The 16,910-nt window shown below is 40.9% G+C and overlaps 1 protein-coding gene, 1 non-coding gene and 1 pseudogene across 15 annotated transcripts in view, besides 2 other annotated features; 2 read left to right on the forward strand and 1 right to left on the reverse strand.

The window, feature by feature from the left end:
• Positions 1 to 16,910, forward strand: part of ITCH (itchy E3 ubiquitin protein ligase) — a 148,501-nt gene that overhangs the window by 97,105 nt on the left and 34,486 nt on the right. For all 14 annotated transcript variants that reach the window (NM_001324197.2, NM_001324198.2, NM_001257137.3 and 11 more), the window contains 3 exons: positions 1,716 to 1,844; positions 9,671 to 9,743; positions 11,067 to 11,138. In NM_001324197.2, coding sequence (NP_001311126.1) covers positions 1,716 to 1,844; positions 9,671 to 9,743; positions 11,067 to 11,138 — 274 coding nt within the window. The remainder of the gene's footprint in view (positions 1 to 1,715; positions 1,845 to 9,670; positions 9,744 to 11,066; positions 11,139 to 16,910) is intronic.
• MIR644A (microRNA 644a) lies at positions 5,948 to 6,041 on the forward strand. Its single transcript, NR_030374.1, has one exon. It is a non-coding gene; the product is annotated as a microRNA 644a (primary transcript).
• FDX1P1 (ferredoxin 1 pseudogene 1) lies at positions 12,934 to 16,115 on the reverse strand (annotated as a pseudogene).
• Positions 12,973 to 13,062: a silencer, noted in NCBI's record as "silent region_12835". NCBI's record gives its function as "represses an Ori minimal core promoter by ATAC-STARR-seq in GM12878 lymphoblastoid cells {active_cell/tissue: GM12878}" and the evidence as "EXISTENCE:reporter gene assay evidence [ECO:0000049][PMID:35858748]".
• Positions 13,711 to 14,655: an enhancer, noted in NCBI's record as "NANOG-H3K27ac-H3K4me1 hESC enhancer chr20:33061893-33062837 (GRCh37/hg19 assembly coordinates)". NCBI's record gives its function as "activates a minimal SCP1, AML or CMV promoter by ChIP-STARR-seq in naive H9 embryonic stem cells {active_cell/tissue: H9 hESC(naive)}" and the evidence as "EXISTENCE:reporter gene assay evidence [ECO:0000049][PMID:30033119]".

The following is a 16,910-nucleotide window of genomic DNA, read 5'->3' on the forward strand; positions in this document are numbered from 1 at the left end:
AGAGACGGTGTCTCTATGTTGCCCAGGCTGGTGGGAAGTTGTTGCCAAACACACAAACTGAAATACTTGATTAAAAGATGTCCTGGCAGTATGTAGGAAATACTTTTGGAAGACCTAAAGAGAACGATCAATCTATAGTTGTAGTAGGAGTAATAACAATTACAACTTGGGCTCACTGTCACTTTTTACCTGTCTCATTTGTTCCTCATCTAGTCTCATAGACATTGTTGTCTCTGTTTTATGGACAAAGAACCTAAAGTTTAGAGAGATTAAGCAGCTTGTCTAGGGTCACAAGAGTTTTCAAGGTATAAAGATAGGTATTAAGGAGGTGGCATGGAATACTTCATAAATAACATATTAGGCCTTGTGTAGTGTCTCAACATCTGTAATCCCAGTGCTTTGAGAGGCCAAAATAGGAGGATCACTTCCGGTCAGGAGTTCAAGACCAGCCTGGGGAACATAGTGAGACCAGTCTCTACATAAAATTTTATAATTTAACCGGGTGTGGTGGTATACAACTGTAGTCCTAGCTACTAGGGAGGCTGAGGTGGGAGGATTGCTTGAACCCAGGAGTTTGAGGCTGCAGTGAACTATGATCATGCCACTGCACTCCACCCTGGGCAGCAGAGTGAGATTCTTTCTCTTAAAAGAATCTTTTTTTGAGTTGCCTTAGTAGAAAAACAGTAGATAGATAATATGGGACAAAAGGAAAGGCTTCATTTGGAGGTGTGGCAGATCATATCTTATTTAAGGAAGTGCTGAGTGGCCTACACTGTGAAATCATGGGATTCATGAAAGGGAGTTAGAGGTTTGGGTGCAAAGGGAACATTGAGGCCAGCGTATAGAGGCTGAGTGAATGCCATATGAAGAACTTTAGATCTTAATCATTGGTAATGGTGGAACAGTGATAGTACTTTACAGAGATAACTAATTTAAATAAGATCTCTGTTTTAGGATGATACTCTGTTAGCAGTATCAGTATAAGAGCAGGCCTAGAGTGAGATCAGATAAGGAAAACGAGTTAGGTGGCTGTTCAAAAAATGCAGAAGATGGCTGGGCGCAGTGGCTCACGCCTGTAATTCCAGCACCTTGGAAGGCTGAGGTGGGAGGATCACAAGGTCAGGAGTTCAAACCCAGCCTGGCCAACATGGTGAAACCCTGTCTCTACTAAAAATACAAAAATTAGCTGGGCGTGGGCGTGGTGGCAGGCGCCTGTAGTCCCAGCTGAGGCTGAGGCAGGAGAATCGCTTGAACCTGGGAGGTGGAGGTTGCAGTGAGCCAAGATATCGTGCCCCTGCACTCCAGCCTGGGCGACAGTGAGACTCCATCTATAAAAAAAAAAAAAAAAAAAAAAAAGCAGGAGAGAAACAAAGCCAGAGAAAGGATGGTGTTGGGGATTGGAAATAGAGATGAACGTGAAGATTTCTAAGGCAGAATGGTTAGAACTTGGTTAACAAAATGTTTAGGATGAGTCATTAGCTAATGGGGAACATAAGCCAAGTAGACGGCAGAAGACTTGAGTTGTGTTTGATGGACTTTGAGTTTAACCTGTTTGTAGGATGTCCACATAGAGATGTCTAGTATACAACTGAATTACTGAACTGAATGGTTTTCTAAAAGATTTCTGCTATGTTTATTGACATTTGTAGCTTCTGTACTTGGCAAACAAGCAACTCTTTAATATTTTTGTTTATGTTTTTTCCTGTGTTTCGTAGTCAATTAAATGAAAAGCCCTTACCTGAAGGTTGGGAAATGAGATTCACAGTGGATGGAATTCCATATTTTGTGGACCACAATAGAAGAACTACCACCTATATAGATCCCCGCACAGGAAAATCTGCCCTGTAAGTTTTCTAAACATTGTAGATTAAGAGTAAAATACTAGTCCTTCAGATTTTGATATAAAGATTTGTATTAGCAAGGAGTGGAAGTCTTAGTATTTCTTGAGTTAGCTTGACAATAGGTTTCTGTTCATTAAGTATTTTGCATTTCCATCTCCCTCTTGGATATTTTATCCTAGAGATTTTCATATTTGTTACCATTTGTTCACACAGCACTAAATGAAACTATTTAGAATTTATAGGTATTGTACTGCTTACCAATTAGTCTCTGATTTCTGATTTTCAGCTTCTTTCATTCCCTTAACTTTTTGACGTTAAAAAAGCTCTCATTACTTATCCCCCACCCCATTTCTGAGAAAGTAACCTTTTGATTTGCTTATGTGCTTTATGACTTCTTTTGTGGGAAAATATATAACCTAAAGTTTCTTGTTTTATGTGTACAGTTCAGTGGCATTAAGCACATTCATATTGTGGCATAATCATTACCACCATCCATCTCCAGAATGTTTTCATCATTCCACACTGAAACACTGTACCCTTTAAACAATAACTTTAGCAGACCTGGTAACCAGCCTTCTACTGTCTTTCTCTATGAATTTGACTAGTCGAAGTACCTCATATTATTGGAGTCATACAATATTTATGCTTATGTTTCTGGATTATTTCACTAAGGTCATATCTTCAAGATTTATCCGTGTTGTAATATGTATCAACATTTTCATTCCTTATTGAAGCTGAATAATATTCCAGTGTATGTATATATCACATTTTGTTTATTCACAGATATTTGCATTGTTTCTGTTTTTTGGGGGGTATTGTAAATAATGCTGCTCTGAACATTGGTATATAATTTTCTGCTTGAGGCCGGGCGCAGTGGCTCATGCCTGTAATCCCAGCGCTTTGGGAGGCCAAGGCAGGCGGATCACCTGATATCAGGAGTTGGAGACCAGTCTGGTCAACATGGCAAAACCCCATCTCTACTAAAAATACAAAAATTAGCTGGGCATGGTGGCGCACACCTGTAATCCCGGCTACTCGGGAGTGTGAGGCAGGAGAATCGCTTGAACCCAGGAGGCAGAGGTTGCAGTGAGTCAAGATCATGCCACAGCACTCCAGCCTGGGTGACAGAGTGAGACTCCGTCTCAAAAAAACACCAAAAACCAAGTATCTGTTTGAGTTCCTACTTCGATGACTTTTGTATCTGTACCCAAAAGTTAGGGTTAGGGTTAGGGTTAGGATGACTTTTGTATCTATTGCTGGATTAAATATTAATTCTGTATTTAATTTTTTGAAGAACCACCATACTGTTTTTCAGTGTCTGTGCCAGTTTACATTTCCACCCTAGTGCAGAAGAATTCCAATTTCTGTACGTTCTCATCAACTCTTCTGTTTTTTTTTTCTTCATCATCATCATATTTTTTTTTAAATAGTCATCCTTAATGTCGTATTTCATTGTGGTTTTTCTTTGTATTTTTCTAATGGTTTGTGATGTTGAGTATCTTTTCATATGCTTCTTGGCTATTTGTGTATCTTCTTTGGAAAAATGTCTCTTCAAGTCCTTTGCCCATTTGTTGTTGTTTTTTTTTTCTTTTGCGATTGAGTTTTAGGTGTTCTCTATATATTCTGGGTGTTAATCCCTTATCAAATACATGATTTGCAATTATTTTCTCCCATTCTGTGGTTTCCTTTTTACTGTAGATAGTGCCCTTTGATGTATAAAACATTTTAGATTTTGATGTCTGATTTGTCAATTTTTTCTTTTCTTTTCTTTTTTGAGACAGTCTCTCTCTCTGTCACCCAGGCTGGAGTGCAGTGGCACAATCTCGGCTCACTGCAAGCTATGCCTCCCGGGTTCACGCCATTCTCCTGCCTCAGCCTCCGAAGTAGCTGGGCCTACAGGCGCCCGCCACCATGCCCAGCTAATTTTTTTTTTTTTTTTTGTATTTTGTTTAATAGAGACGGGGTTTCACCACATTAGCCAGGATGGTCTTGATCTCCTGACCTCGTGATCCACCCACCTCAGTCTCCCAAAGTGCTGGGATTACAGGCGTGAGCCACCGTGCCCGGCCTGTTTTTTCTTTTTTTTTTTTTCTTTCTTTCTTTCTTTTTTTTTTTTGAGACGGAGCTTCACTCTTTTTGCCCACTCTTTTTGCCCAGGAGTGCAATGGTGCGATCTCGGCTCACCACAACTTCTGCCTCCTGGGTTCAAGCTATTCTCCTGCTTCAGCCTCCCGAGTCGCTGGGATTATAGGCATGCACCACCACGCTGAGCTAATTTTGTATTTTTAGTAGAAGACAGGGTTTCTCCTTGTTGGTCAGGCTGATCTCGAACTCCCGACCTCAGGTGATCCGCCCGCCTCAGCCTCCTGAAGTGTTGGGATTACAGATGTGAAGCTCCGCGCCCAGCCTGTCAGTTTTTTCTTTGTCACCTGTACCTTTGGTGTCATATCCAAGAAATCATTTCCAAATCCAGTGTCATAAAGCTTTGCCCTAAGTTCTTTTTTTTTTTGTAGATAGAGTCTCACTCTGTCGCCCAGGCTGGAGTGCAGTGGCAAGATCTCAGCTCACTGCAACCTCTACCGCCTGGGTTGAAGCGATTCTTTTGCCTCAGCCTCCTGAGTAGCTGGGGTTTTAGCTACGCACCAACACGCCTGGCTAATTTTCGTATTTTTAGTAGAGACGGGGTTTCACCATGTTGGTCAGGCTGGTCTCAAACTCCTGACCTCGTGATCCACACCCCCTCAGCCTCCCAAAGAGTAGGGATTACAGGCATGAGCCACCGCGCCTGGCCTGAGAGTTCTTTAATTTTAGCTCTTACATTTAGATCTTTTATCCATTTTAAGTTAAATTTTGTATATGGTGTTGGGTAAGGGTCCAACTTCATCTTTTTGAATGTGAATGTCCAATTTTCCCAAGCACCATTTGTTGAAAAGACTGTCCTTTCCCCATTGCATGACTGTGGCACCATTGTCAATAGCATTTTACCATATATGCAAGGGATTATTTCTGGGCTGTTTATTCTGTTGGTCTGTATGTCTGATTTGCCAATACCACGCTATAGCTTTGTAGCAAGTTTTCAAATCAGGAAGGTATGTGTCCTCCAACTTTGTTCTTTTTTTCAAGCTGCTTTTGACTATTCAGGGTCCTTTGAGATTCCATATGAATTTTAGGATGGATTTTTTTATTTCTGAAAAAAAGAAGTCATTTGGATTTTGATAGGGGATTTTATTGAATGTACAGAATCAATAAAATCCATATTGATCAATACAGATTCAATATCTGTATCAATCTGGGGTAGTGTGGTCATCTTAACAATATTAAGTCTTCCAATCCATGAATGTGGATATCTTTGTGTTTTCTTTGATTTCTTTCAGCAGTGTTTTGTGGTTTTCAGTGTACGAGTCTTTTGCCTTCTTGATTAATTCCTAAGTATTTTTTATTCTTTGTGATGCTATTGTAAATGGAATTGTTATCTTAATTTTCTTTTTATATTGTTTATTCTTAGTATATAGAAATGGAACTATTTTGTGTTGACTTTGTATGCTGCTACTTTCCTGAATTCACTTACTCTGGCAGGGTTTTTCGTTGTGGAATATTTAGTGTTTTCTTCGTAAAAGATCTTAGCTTCTGAAAACAGATAAGTTTTCTTCTTCCCAATTTGGGTATCTTTTATTTATTTATTTATTTTTCTTGCTTAATTCCTCTGGCTAGAGCTTCTGGATACTATGTTGACTACAAGTGGTGAAAATAGGCATTCTTATATTGTTCCTCATCTTAAAGAAAAAACTTCTAACCATTGAATGTGATGTTTGCTGTTAGATTTTTATATGTGCCTTTTATTATATTGAGGTAGTTTCCCTCTATTCCTAGTGTTTCCTATCCCTGTTGTGGAGTGTTTTATCATGAAAGTGTATTAAATTTTGTAAAATCCTTTTTTGGTATCAATTGAGATGATCATGTGATTTTTTCCCCCCCTCATTCTGTTAATGTGGTATATTATGTTGATTTTTCATAGGTTGAACCTTTTTTGCATTCCAGGAATAAATCCTACTTAGTCAAAAGGATTAAAGTGTGCTTTTAATATGCTGCTGAGATTTTTTTGCTGATTTTTTTTTAGTATTTTTCCATCAGTGTTCATAAGGAATGTTGCTCTGTAGTTTTCTTATAGTGTGGCTTTCTTAGAGCAAAGATGGTTCCCTATTACTTTCTAATTTTATACTTCTACACATTAACAACTTTTATATTTAAAGCAGAAACTGGAAAATCAGGCCAATTTGGTATTAATGAAATTACAGAGGTAATTTAGATATGGGAATAAATTACCGATAATATTATTCTATCATTCATTTTAGTTACAATAAGTTTGGGTGCATATAATAGAAAACACTAAAATAATAGTGGTTTATGTAAGATAGAAGTGTATTTGTCCCCATTATTTAAAAATAGTCCAGCAGGACTTACACCACATCATTACCATTGCTCAAAAAAGAAGTTACAAGAAAAATCAGGAAATATTTTATTTTGAATAATAATTAAAACACCACATATCACAATTTGTGGGATTTAACTAAAGTAGTCTTCAGCGGGAAACTTTTGTTTTAAAGAAGTAGATGAGAATATAGGAAAGATAAAATCAGTGATCTCTGCTTTTACATTCAGATGCTAGAAAAAGGCAAGTTATTAAACCTAAAGTAAGTACAAGAAAGGAAATAAATAAAAGCAGAACTCAGTGAAGTGGAAAAGAAACAATGGAGCGCCCAAAGCTAGAAGATAAATTTTTGGTAAACATTAATAATATTAACAACCCTTAGTAATTAAACCTATAGAGAAAAAAAGAGGGACATCACTGTATATTTTATAGACATTAAAAGGATAATAAAGGGTATATTTATGCCAATAACTTTAACATTTTAGATCAAATGGACAAATTCTTTGAAAGATATGTCACCAAAATGGACACAAGAACAGATAGTAAGTCTAAATATCCCTATAGCTGATAAATCAAATGCATAATTAAATAATTTTTAAGGGCAGGCCCAGTGGCTCATGCCAGTAATCTCAGCACTTTGGGAGGCCAAGGTGGGCAGATCACTTGAGCTCAAGAGTTCAAGACCAGCCTAGGCAACATGGTGAAACCCATGTCTACAAAAAATACAAAATATTAGCTGGGTGTGGTGGTGCATGCCTGTAGTCCCAGTTACTTAGGAGGGTGAGATGGGAAGATTGCTTGAGCCCAGGAAGCTGTGGTGAACCGAGATCGCGCCACTGTACTTGAGCCTGGGTGGCAGAGTGTGACCCTGTCTCAAAAAAAAAAAAAAAGAAAAAAAAGATTTCTCATGAAGAAAATTCTGGCCTAGATGGTGTCACTGGTAAGGTTCATCAAACTTATAAGTTATAAATTAATCAGTCCTATTCAAATTCATTCATAAAATACAAGTGATGGAAATGTTTTCTTTTTCATTTTTTTTTTTTTTTTTTTTTTTTGAGACGGAGTTTCACTCTTGTTGCCCAGGCTGGAGTGCAATAGCCCAATCTCGGCTCACCGCAACCTCGGCCTCCCTGGTTCAAGCAATTCTCCTGCCTCAGCCTCCTGATTAGCTGGGATTATAGGCATGCGCCACCATGCCTGGCTAATTTTGTATTTTTAGTAGAGATGAGGTTTCAGGCCACTGCATTCCACCCTGGGTGACAGAGTGACATTCCATGTCAAAACAAACAAAATTGGTTAAAGGAGAAAAATCATACGATAATTTCAGGAAAAGCTTGTGACATAATACAATGCAAATTTATGAGAAACTCTCAGCTACCTTGGAAACTTTTTTTTTTTTTTTTTTGAGACGGAGTCTCACTTTGTCGCCCAGGCTGGAGTGCAGTGGCACAATCTCAGCTCACTGCAAGCTCTGCCTCCCGGGTTCACGCCATTCTCTTGCCTTAGCCTCCTGAGTAGCTGGGACTACAGACGCCCGCCACCACACCTGGCTAATTTTTTGTATTTTTAGTAGAGACGGGGTTTCACTGTGTTAGCCAGGATGTTCTCAATCTCCTGACCTCATGATCCACCTGCCTTGGCCTCCCAAAGTGCTGGGATTACAGGCGTGAGCTGCTGCGCCCTGCCGGAAACATTTTTATTGGAAAAAAAAAATGTAACAAAAGCTTACAGCCAACATCACAATTAATGATGAAATACCGTAGAACATCAAGAGTAAGACAAGGATATCTACTGTCATTACTTCATTCAACATTGTGTCAGTATTCCTACCCAGTGCAGTGAGATGAGAAAAAGAAATACAGGCCGGGCATGGTGGCTCACGCCTGTAATCCCAGCACTTTGGGAGGCCCAGGCAGGCAGATCACTTGAGGCCAGGAGTTTGAGACCAGCCTGGCCAACATGGCTAAACCCCGTCTCTACTAAAAATACAAAAATTAGTCAGTCATGGTGGTGGGCACCTGTAATCCCAGCTACTCAGGAGGCGGAGGCAGGAGAATCGCTTGAACCTCTGGGTCAGAGGTTACAGTGAGCAGAGATTGCGCCACTGCACTCCAGCCTGGGAGACAGAGCAAGACTCCATCTCAAAAAAAAAAAGAAAGAAAAGAAAAGAAATATAAGATGTATAAATTGGAAAGGAAGAAGTAAAACTGTCTCTTTTCCCCTCACACAAATAACGTTTGTATACAGAAAATCATGAAGAATCTAGAAAAAATTACTAGAACTAGTAAGTGAATTTAACAGCGTAACAGAATATAAAGTCAATGTACAAAATCAGTTGTATTTCTACACTGATATACATTGAATTTTTAAGAGGGAGATAATGCAGTGGTATTAAGTCCAAGGCTAGCTGAGAAACCCCATGGTGTCATAGTGATCTAAAATTCTTCTGTCTTTTCTACCATCCTAGAGTATGGTCTCATTCTTCAAAGTGACCTCATGGTCTGTGACAGCTGCTGAAACTTAAGCTATCAGGGTCACACTCCAGGCTGGAATTTGGAGGAAGGGCAAATTATAAACACACACACACACACACACACACACACTCACACACTTTTTAGCTATTTTAGCTGTCTTTTAGAAAATCCTTCCTTTTTTTTTTTAGACGGAGTCTAGCTTTGTCACCCTTGCTGGAGTGCAGTGGTGCAATCTCAGCTCACTGCAGCCTTGACCTCTGAGGTTCAAGTGATTCTCCTGCCTCAGCCTCCCAAGTAGATGGGATTAGAGGCACCTGCCACCACACCCGGCTAATTTTTATAATTTTTAGTAGAGACAGAGTTTCAACATGTTGGTCAGGCTGGTCTCAAACTCCTGACCTCAGATGATCCACCCGCCTCAGCCTCCCAAAGTGCTGGGATTTATAGGTGTGAACCACTGCACCTGGCCAAAAAGATCCTTCTTGAACGTTTCATATGCCACTTTCACTTAGAGACTTAAGTCACATGGCCATATAGAGAAATGTAGTCTTTATTATATGTAGCATTCTACTTAGTTAAATAGCAAGGGTTTTACTTAAAGATAAAGGAGGGAATTGATGTTGGGATAGACAGCATTCTCAGATAGAAACCCCTTTACTTAGCCCTCTTAGATTTGGCAGCATAGAAAAGAAAATCCCACAACAGTAGTTTCAACAAAATCAAAGTTTTTTGTTTGTTTTTTCTGTTACTTAAAAGTATTCTTGGGGAAATATCTCTCAAAAAGCAAAGAATGGTTTTGTTAGGAATATGCTATATTTTTGAATTTGGTTAGTAAGTGCTGAGAGAGGGTGGGATATTTTGCTTTCCTTCAGCATTATCTTTTACAAGCAGCTATATATGTCCTGTTAACCCTTGTTCTTCCTCAGAGACAATGGACCTCAGATAGCCTATGTTCGGGACTTCAAAGCAAAGGTTCAGTATTTCCGGTTCTGGTGTCAGGTTAGTATTGGAACTGTATCTCTGTACTGCCTTAACTTTGTTGTGTTGCTTTATATTACACAGTGATTGTGAAAATACTTAACTCACAGAAAAACAGGTAAAATGGGAAGCATTAGAATCTCTTTCATCTATTTTTAGAGCAAATAAATAGATTTATCAATTAGATCATTTGTGACTTTGGTTATTCAGAAAATTAAACCTCATGTAATCCCAGCACTTGGGGAGGCCGAGGTGGGCAGATCACTTGAGCTCAGGAGTTCAGGACCAGTCTGGGCAACATATTGAGGCCTTACCTCTGTAAATATATATATATATATATTTCTTTTTTTTAAAGAAGAAAATTAAACTTGAAACCATCTGAATAAGCAAACATTGTCACTTTTTCCTCAGTAGCCATTACTTTCAGATTGCAGGAATCTTCAAATGTAAGTAAAAGCATTTTCTGATATAATTTTAACCAGCTACTTTATTTTTATGTGTTATTTTTTCTGAGACAGGATCTCACTCTGTCACCCAGGCTGGAGTGCAGTGGTGCCATCATGGCTTACTGCAGCCTTGACCTCCTGGGCTCAAGTGATCCTCTTGCCTCAGCCTTCTCGCTAGCTGACACTACAGATGCACTTCACCACACCTGGCTAATTTTTAGTAGAGACAGGGTCCCCTTATGTTGCCCAGGCTGGTTTTGAACTCCTGGATTCAAATGATCCTCCTGCCTCATCTTCCCCAAGTGCTGGGATTACAGGCATAAACCAGCATGCCCGGACACCAGCCATTTTTATATCTATCGTTTGATATAACTGACTTTGATAGATAAATACATGTTCATACATACATGAACATGTCCATACATAGATGTTATATTCAGTGTTTTTTTCAGATGTGATCAACTATTTCTTATGTATAGATATTTACTGGAATTAATGATTTTTTATGGGTTCTAAATCAAATGAATGCCCTAGTCAAAGTTACTGTGATGAATATTTTTACACTTGAAACTCTTGTAATTAACTGGACCCATGGAAGCAAGAAGAATCTGGATTAACTGTTGGAAAATAAGATTAAGTAAAGATTTATTTGACACATTATTAAGTAAGCAGTGTGCATATGAGATCAATCTTGTGGTTCTTCTGTTTGCATATATTAATCTGTAATTAGCATGAATACTCACAGATGCATTGGTAAACATTATTGAATATAAATTTATATTCATAGTCTACTTGTTTCTGTAAGGAAAGATAAAAGTAAATAAAACTTTCCCCTTTTGATTTTTTTGATAGGCTATTTTAATGATGAGAGTTGACTTAAGTCATTCTTCTATTTCAGCAACTGGCCATGCCACAGCACATAAAGATTACAGTGACAAGAAAAACATTGTTTGAGGATTCCTTTCAACAGGTACTGTTTCATTCTCTCAATAATTTCCCCCCTGGCTGCTAGCTTAGGACCCGCTTTTGGTGCTGTCAGTTTAATCTGAATGGTTTGGAACTTCTTGAGTTGAAGTCCTTGAATTTTTCAAGTGCGATCTCATTGCCAGCCACCTTAGGGCTTAAGGGGTGTGTGTGTGTGTGTGTGTGTGTGTGTGTGTGTGTGTGTGTTTCAGGTTTCCATTTCTAAACTGGTATGATTTGAAATAAATGCATAGGTAAGATAATAGGTTTGTGTGTGTGTGTGTGTGTTTCAGGTTTCCATTTCTAAACTGGTATGATTTGAAATAAATGCATAGGTAAGATAATAGGTTTTTGGTAGCCAAAGGTCTGGAAATACCCATATGAACATTATCAGATTGTAGAAAGGAGAGGGGAAGACTTGTTTTAACACTTCAGTATTACTTGGATTTTTACAATAAGCGTATGTTACTCTTAACAGGAAAAAAAGTGGTCATTGGTGACAGTATCTAAAAAAAGATATATATGAGTTTTCAGAAGTAGTCAGCAGATTTTTTCACTTGTCTTCAGAACTTGAGTTAATTTACTCGCTGGGCACGGTGGCTCATGCCTGTAATCCCAGCACTTTGGGAGGCTGAGGCGGGTACATCACCTGAGGTCAGGAGTTTGAGACCAGCCTGGCCAAGATGGTGAAACCTTGTCTCTATTAAAAATATAAAAATTAGCTGGGCCTGGTGGCTGATGCCTGTAATCCTGTAAAGCTACTCAGGAGAGTCACCTGAACCTGGGAGGTGGAGGTTGCAGTGACCCGAGATCGTGCCATTGCATTCCAGCCTGGGCAATAAGAGCAAAACTCCATCTCAATTTAAAAAAAAAAAAAAAAAAAAAAAAACTTGAGTTAGTCTACTATTCGCCTTTATCTTGCAGATATTACTAATAACCTACTGCAACTAAATGTTAAAATGATTGTGTTATGTAGAAGATTAAAATAACTAGTGAAAAAATGTCTTAAAATGAAAACATCTGGTTAGTCCTTGTTTTATAGCCAGATGTGGAAGTGATTATTTTCAAGCACCAGTGGTATTGTAGCAACTACAGCTTCAAGAAGTACGGAATTGAATGCAAAGGGAAAAGAGGTTGAGACAGTTGGTGGTAGCTGGCTACTTGCTTTCAGAATCAGTTTTTTTCATTTCCTAATGGAACGTCAGTTATTGACATTAAAGGAAAAAGCCAGTTGGCATCCTGCTATGTAGGAGCAGAAAACTTTTTAGTGGGAAGTGGAGCTTTACTGAGGCCATTTAGAGAATTATGAGTCATCCCCTTGATCTGATGTAAGTGTCACAGGCCATTCCCCACCCTAGTCCTTGCCCATTTCTAATTTTATGTTCATAACCACCCTTTTATCACTCTGTTGGACGAGTTTCTTGAAGCAACTTGCTTACCTCTTACCAGTCCTGGAAAGATGCAAAACATGATTAAACTGTTCCTTTATCTTTTGACTTTGAAACCTAAAGTCTTTTGCAAAATAACTGACTAGATGGTTCTAAAACAGTTTTTAAAGCTGTCACCCTAGATTTGACATCCATCAAATAACTGGTTAATAAAAATATAAGAGAACAATTTGATTGCTTAAAGGTAACAAAACTAATTGCAAAATTAGCATCAGATTTTCTTTGGATAGTTGTTGGATAAAATTGCTCTGGGATAGTGTTTCTTCTGTTAACACAGCACAACTGGTTATGGGGGAAAGTACAGGAGAAAACAATTTTTTTTCCTTCATATTAGACATTTGTTAAAAGGAATTTTTTTTTAACTTTTATGGATTTATTTATAGTAAAGATAAGGATACAAATGTCTTCCACACATATGTGGTAATCTGTGGTGCTCGCCACTCCCTCCCTCCTGGGACTGACACACTGCAGCCCACGCTGCTCACCCTGGAGCCCCATCCTTGCATGAGAGAATGGCGCCACCTGGGGCTGTGCGACCTGTCAGCCTGCTCATTCCCTTCTCCAGCTCAGGACAGAGAAACACAATTCATTCATAAGGTTTCCATTCTGTTATAGGCAGAGATTTAGAAATCAGCATTGTTTTTCAAAGAGTACAAAGTTAAACCATTCTGCTTAGAAAAGAATAAACCCATCCAATCATTTTTCCTCTAGTTGAGTCAAAACAGAGATCAAACTTCTTTGATAGTGTTATGTCTGTGTTCAGACTTAGACTTCAGAATCAAAATTTTGAAATATTTATGAGGTTAATAACTATCTTTGAAGTTAAGCAGTTTACTGAGCAATTAAATATTTTTGTCCATACACATTCAGATTTAACTACTGCTATAAATTGTCGTAATTTCTCCAGTTTCAGTCTGAACATAATAGCTTATAGTAATAAGACACAGGTTCTAGTACAGATTTTCCAATTAGTGGTATGGCCCTAAACAAGCCAGGTTAGATCTCTGCCTTCACCTACATCAAACAGGAATAATAATATATTTCCTTAACCTATCTTCTAGGTAAACAGATGAGATTATATGAAAACATTTTGCTAAAGTCGCTAAACAAACATAAGAAAAAATATGTAAGGTTTTTCTATCACATTAACTATTTTTTAATATCTGACTGACATTTTTGTAATATAACCAAAATAAAAATTGCATACTTTCTTTTTTTTTTCTTTTATTGATCATTCTTGGGTGTTTCTCGCAGAGGGGGATTTGGCAGGGTCATAGGACAATAGTGGAGGGAAGGTCAGCAGATAAACAAGTGAACAAAGGTCCCTAGTTCTCCTAGGCAGAGGACCCTGCGGCCTTCCGCAGTGTTTGTGTCCCTGGGTACTTGAGATTAGGGAGTGGTGATGACTCTTAACGAGCATGCTGTCTTCAAGCATCTGTTTAACAAAGCACATCTTGCACCGCCCTTAATCCATTTAACCATGAGTGGACGCAGCACATGTTTCAGAGAGCACAGGGTTGGGGGTAAGGTCACAGATCAACAGGATCCCAAGGCAGAAGAATTATTCTTAGTACAGAACAAAATGAAAAGTCTCCCATGTATACTTCTTTCTGCACAGACACGGCAACCATCCGATTTCTCAATCCTTTACCCACCCTTCCCCGCTTTCTATTCCACAAAACCGCCATTGTCATCATGGCCCGTTCTCAATGAGCTGTTGGGTACACCTCCCAGACGGGGTGGTGGCCTGGCAGAGGGGCTCCTCACTTCCCAGTAGGGGCGGCCGGGCAGAGGCACCCCGCACCTCCAGGACAGGGCGGCTGGCCGGGCGGGGGGGCTGACCCCCCCACCTCCCTCCCGGACAGGGTGGCTGCCGGGTGGAGACGCTCCTCACTTCCCAGACGGGGCGGCTGCCGGGCGGAGGGGCTCCTCACTTCTCAGACGGGGCGGTTGCCAGGCAGAGGGTCTCCTCACTTCTCAGACGGGGTGGCTGGGCAGAGATGCTCCTCACCTCCCAGACGGGGTCGCGGCTGGGCAGAGGCGCTCCTCACATCCCAGACGGGGCGGCGGGGCAGAGGCGCTCCCCACATCCCAGACCATGGGCGGCCGGGCAGAGACGCTCCTCACTTCCTAGATGTGATGGCGGCCGGGAAGAGGCGCTCCTCACTCCTAGATGGGATGGCGGCCGGGCAGAGACGCTCCTCACTTTCCAGACTGGGCAGCCAGGCAGAGGGGCTCCTCACATCCCAGACGATGGGCGGCCAGGCAGAGATGCTCCTCACTTCCCAGACGTGGTGGCGGCCGGGCAGAGGCTGCAATCTCGGCACTTTGGGAGGCCAAGGCAGGCGGCTGGGAGGTGGAGGTTGTAGCTAGCCGAGATCACGCCACTGCACTCCAGCCTGGGCACCATTGAGCACTGAGTGAACGAGACTCCGTCTGCAATCCCGGCACCTCGGGAGGCCAAGGCTGGCGGATCACTCGCGGTTAGGAGCTGGAGACCGGCCCGGCCAACACATCGAAATCCCGTCTCCACCAAAAAAATACGAAAACCAGTCAGGCGTGGCGGCGCGTGCCTGCAATCGTAGGCACTGGGCAGGCTGAGGCAGGAGAATCAGGCAGGGAGGTTGCAGTGAGCCGAGATGGCAGCAGTACAGTCCAGCTTCGGCTCGGCATCAGAGGGAGACCGTGGAAAGAGAGGGAGAGCGAGACCGTGGGGAGAGGGAGACGGGAGAGGCAGAGGCAGGGGCAGGGGCAGGGGCAGGGGCAGGGGCAGGCAGAGGCAGGCAGAGGCAGAGGCAGAGCTGCATACTTTCAAGAATGACAAAATTTAGTAGTTATACAAGGTGAATTAAAATAGTAAAGCTAGTCATAATACAGAATCCACTCATCCATGTACTCATTTTATCACTTAAATAATAATTATAAAAATAGGTAAAATTCCATGAAAATATTCCTATTTGTTCTAGTTCAGGAGGTCTTGCCCACATCAATGGATTGTCTGGCATCAGCCACTGTTTCAGGCACTCGAACAGTCATATTGTCCATAGATTTTGTCAAACAGATTTGGCAGCCCAACTGTGATCTGTTAGTCCATATGCCAGATCGAGCATGTGATTCTCCTCATCAGTGATTGCATCTAACTTCTCATATATGTGATCTTCAAAGATGAGATGACAGGTTAAACAAGCCAGAGTTCCCTCACATGCACCAAAGCCATCAATATCTGGATTATTTTCAACCACAACGTCTAGCAGAGAATCACCAACTTTTCCTTTGGTTGTTAATGTTTCACCATCACAGTTTATAAAGTGGACTGTCACTTTATCTTCTGAGCTGCTCCGCGCCCCTGCCGACACGCTCAGCGGCCGGCTCGCCTCCGCGCTCCGGCCCGGTCCCCGGCTCCTCAGCAGGCCGCTGGCTCCAGCGCGGGACCCGGCGTGGTGCAGCCACCGGCCGGCCGGGTCGCCGAGGACCGCAGAAGCGGCGCGCAGCAGCCGGGCGCCCCCAGCGGCAGCCATCGCCCGCGGTCGGGAACTCAAAAGGAATTATTTAAAGATAGTTTTAACCTTGTGACATTTCTCATTTGCGTTGCTGTATACCTAGCCTATACTATTTGTAGAATACTTGGCATAAACGTACATATGTCATAAGCATTGAAGTTTTTTGTTACATCTGGGATTTTCTGGCTTGAGTGGGATGTGAATTCATAAATGTGATGGTTTTGTGGGGGAACTGAGAGAACTTGGCATAAACAGGTATACTTACTGATCCTCTCTGGATATTTAAGTGTGGTAATTCATTCTTATCACTCAATAAAGTATAGGCATTATATCAACTTCTCCCTTTCCATGTTCTTCTGTATTTTTTTGTAAGAGTAATTGATATATGCAGTGCTATACACACACAATTTTGGTCAAATAATTTGTTTTACGTGGCAGGAAACCAAATGACCTATTGATTGTAGCTCAGTAATGTACTGTCCTTCAAATATGAAGATGATCCTATTAACCACCTATAGTGGGACACAAAATTTGAGTAGTTTTTGTAGGTAGTTATCGGTTGCCGCTGAGAATGAGTTTCCAAAGTTAACTGGGTCTCTCTGCAGCTACTGGTTTTCATTTCTCGGTTAGCCAGTTAGCTGTTACGTGTACCTTTGGCTATGAGTCAAAACCAAACCTAATAACCAAACCACAAAAACCCCACCCAACCTCTGACCATGCCCATCTATGTTCTAAGTAATTGATACAGGCAACATTATAAGTCAATAGTAGCATCATTAAAAATAAAATCACGGCCGGGCATGATGGCTCACGTCTGTAATCCCAGCACTT

The sequence above is a fragment of the Homo sapiens genome, chromosome 20 (assembly GCF_000001405.40).
Source record: "Homo sapiens chromosome 20, GRCh38.p14 Primary Assembly".
NCBI classification, from domain to species: Eukaryota; Metazoa; Chordata; class Mammalia; order Primates; family Hominidae; genus Homo; species Homo sapiens.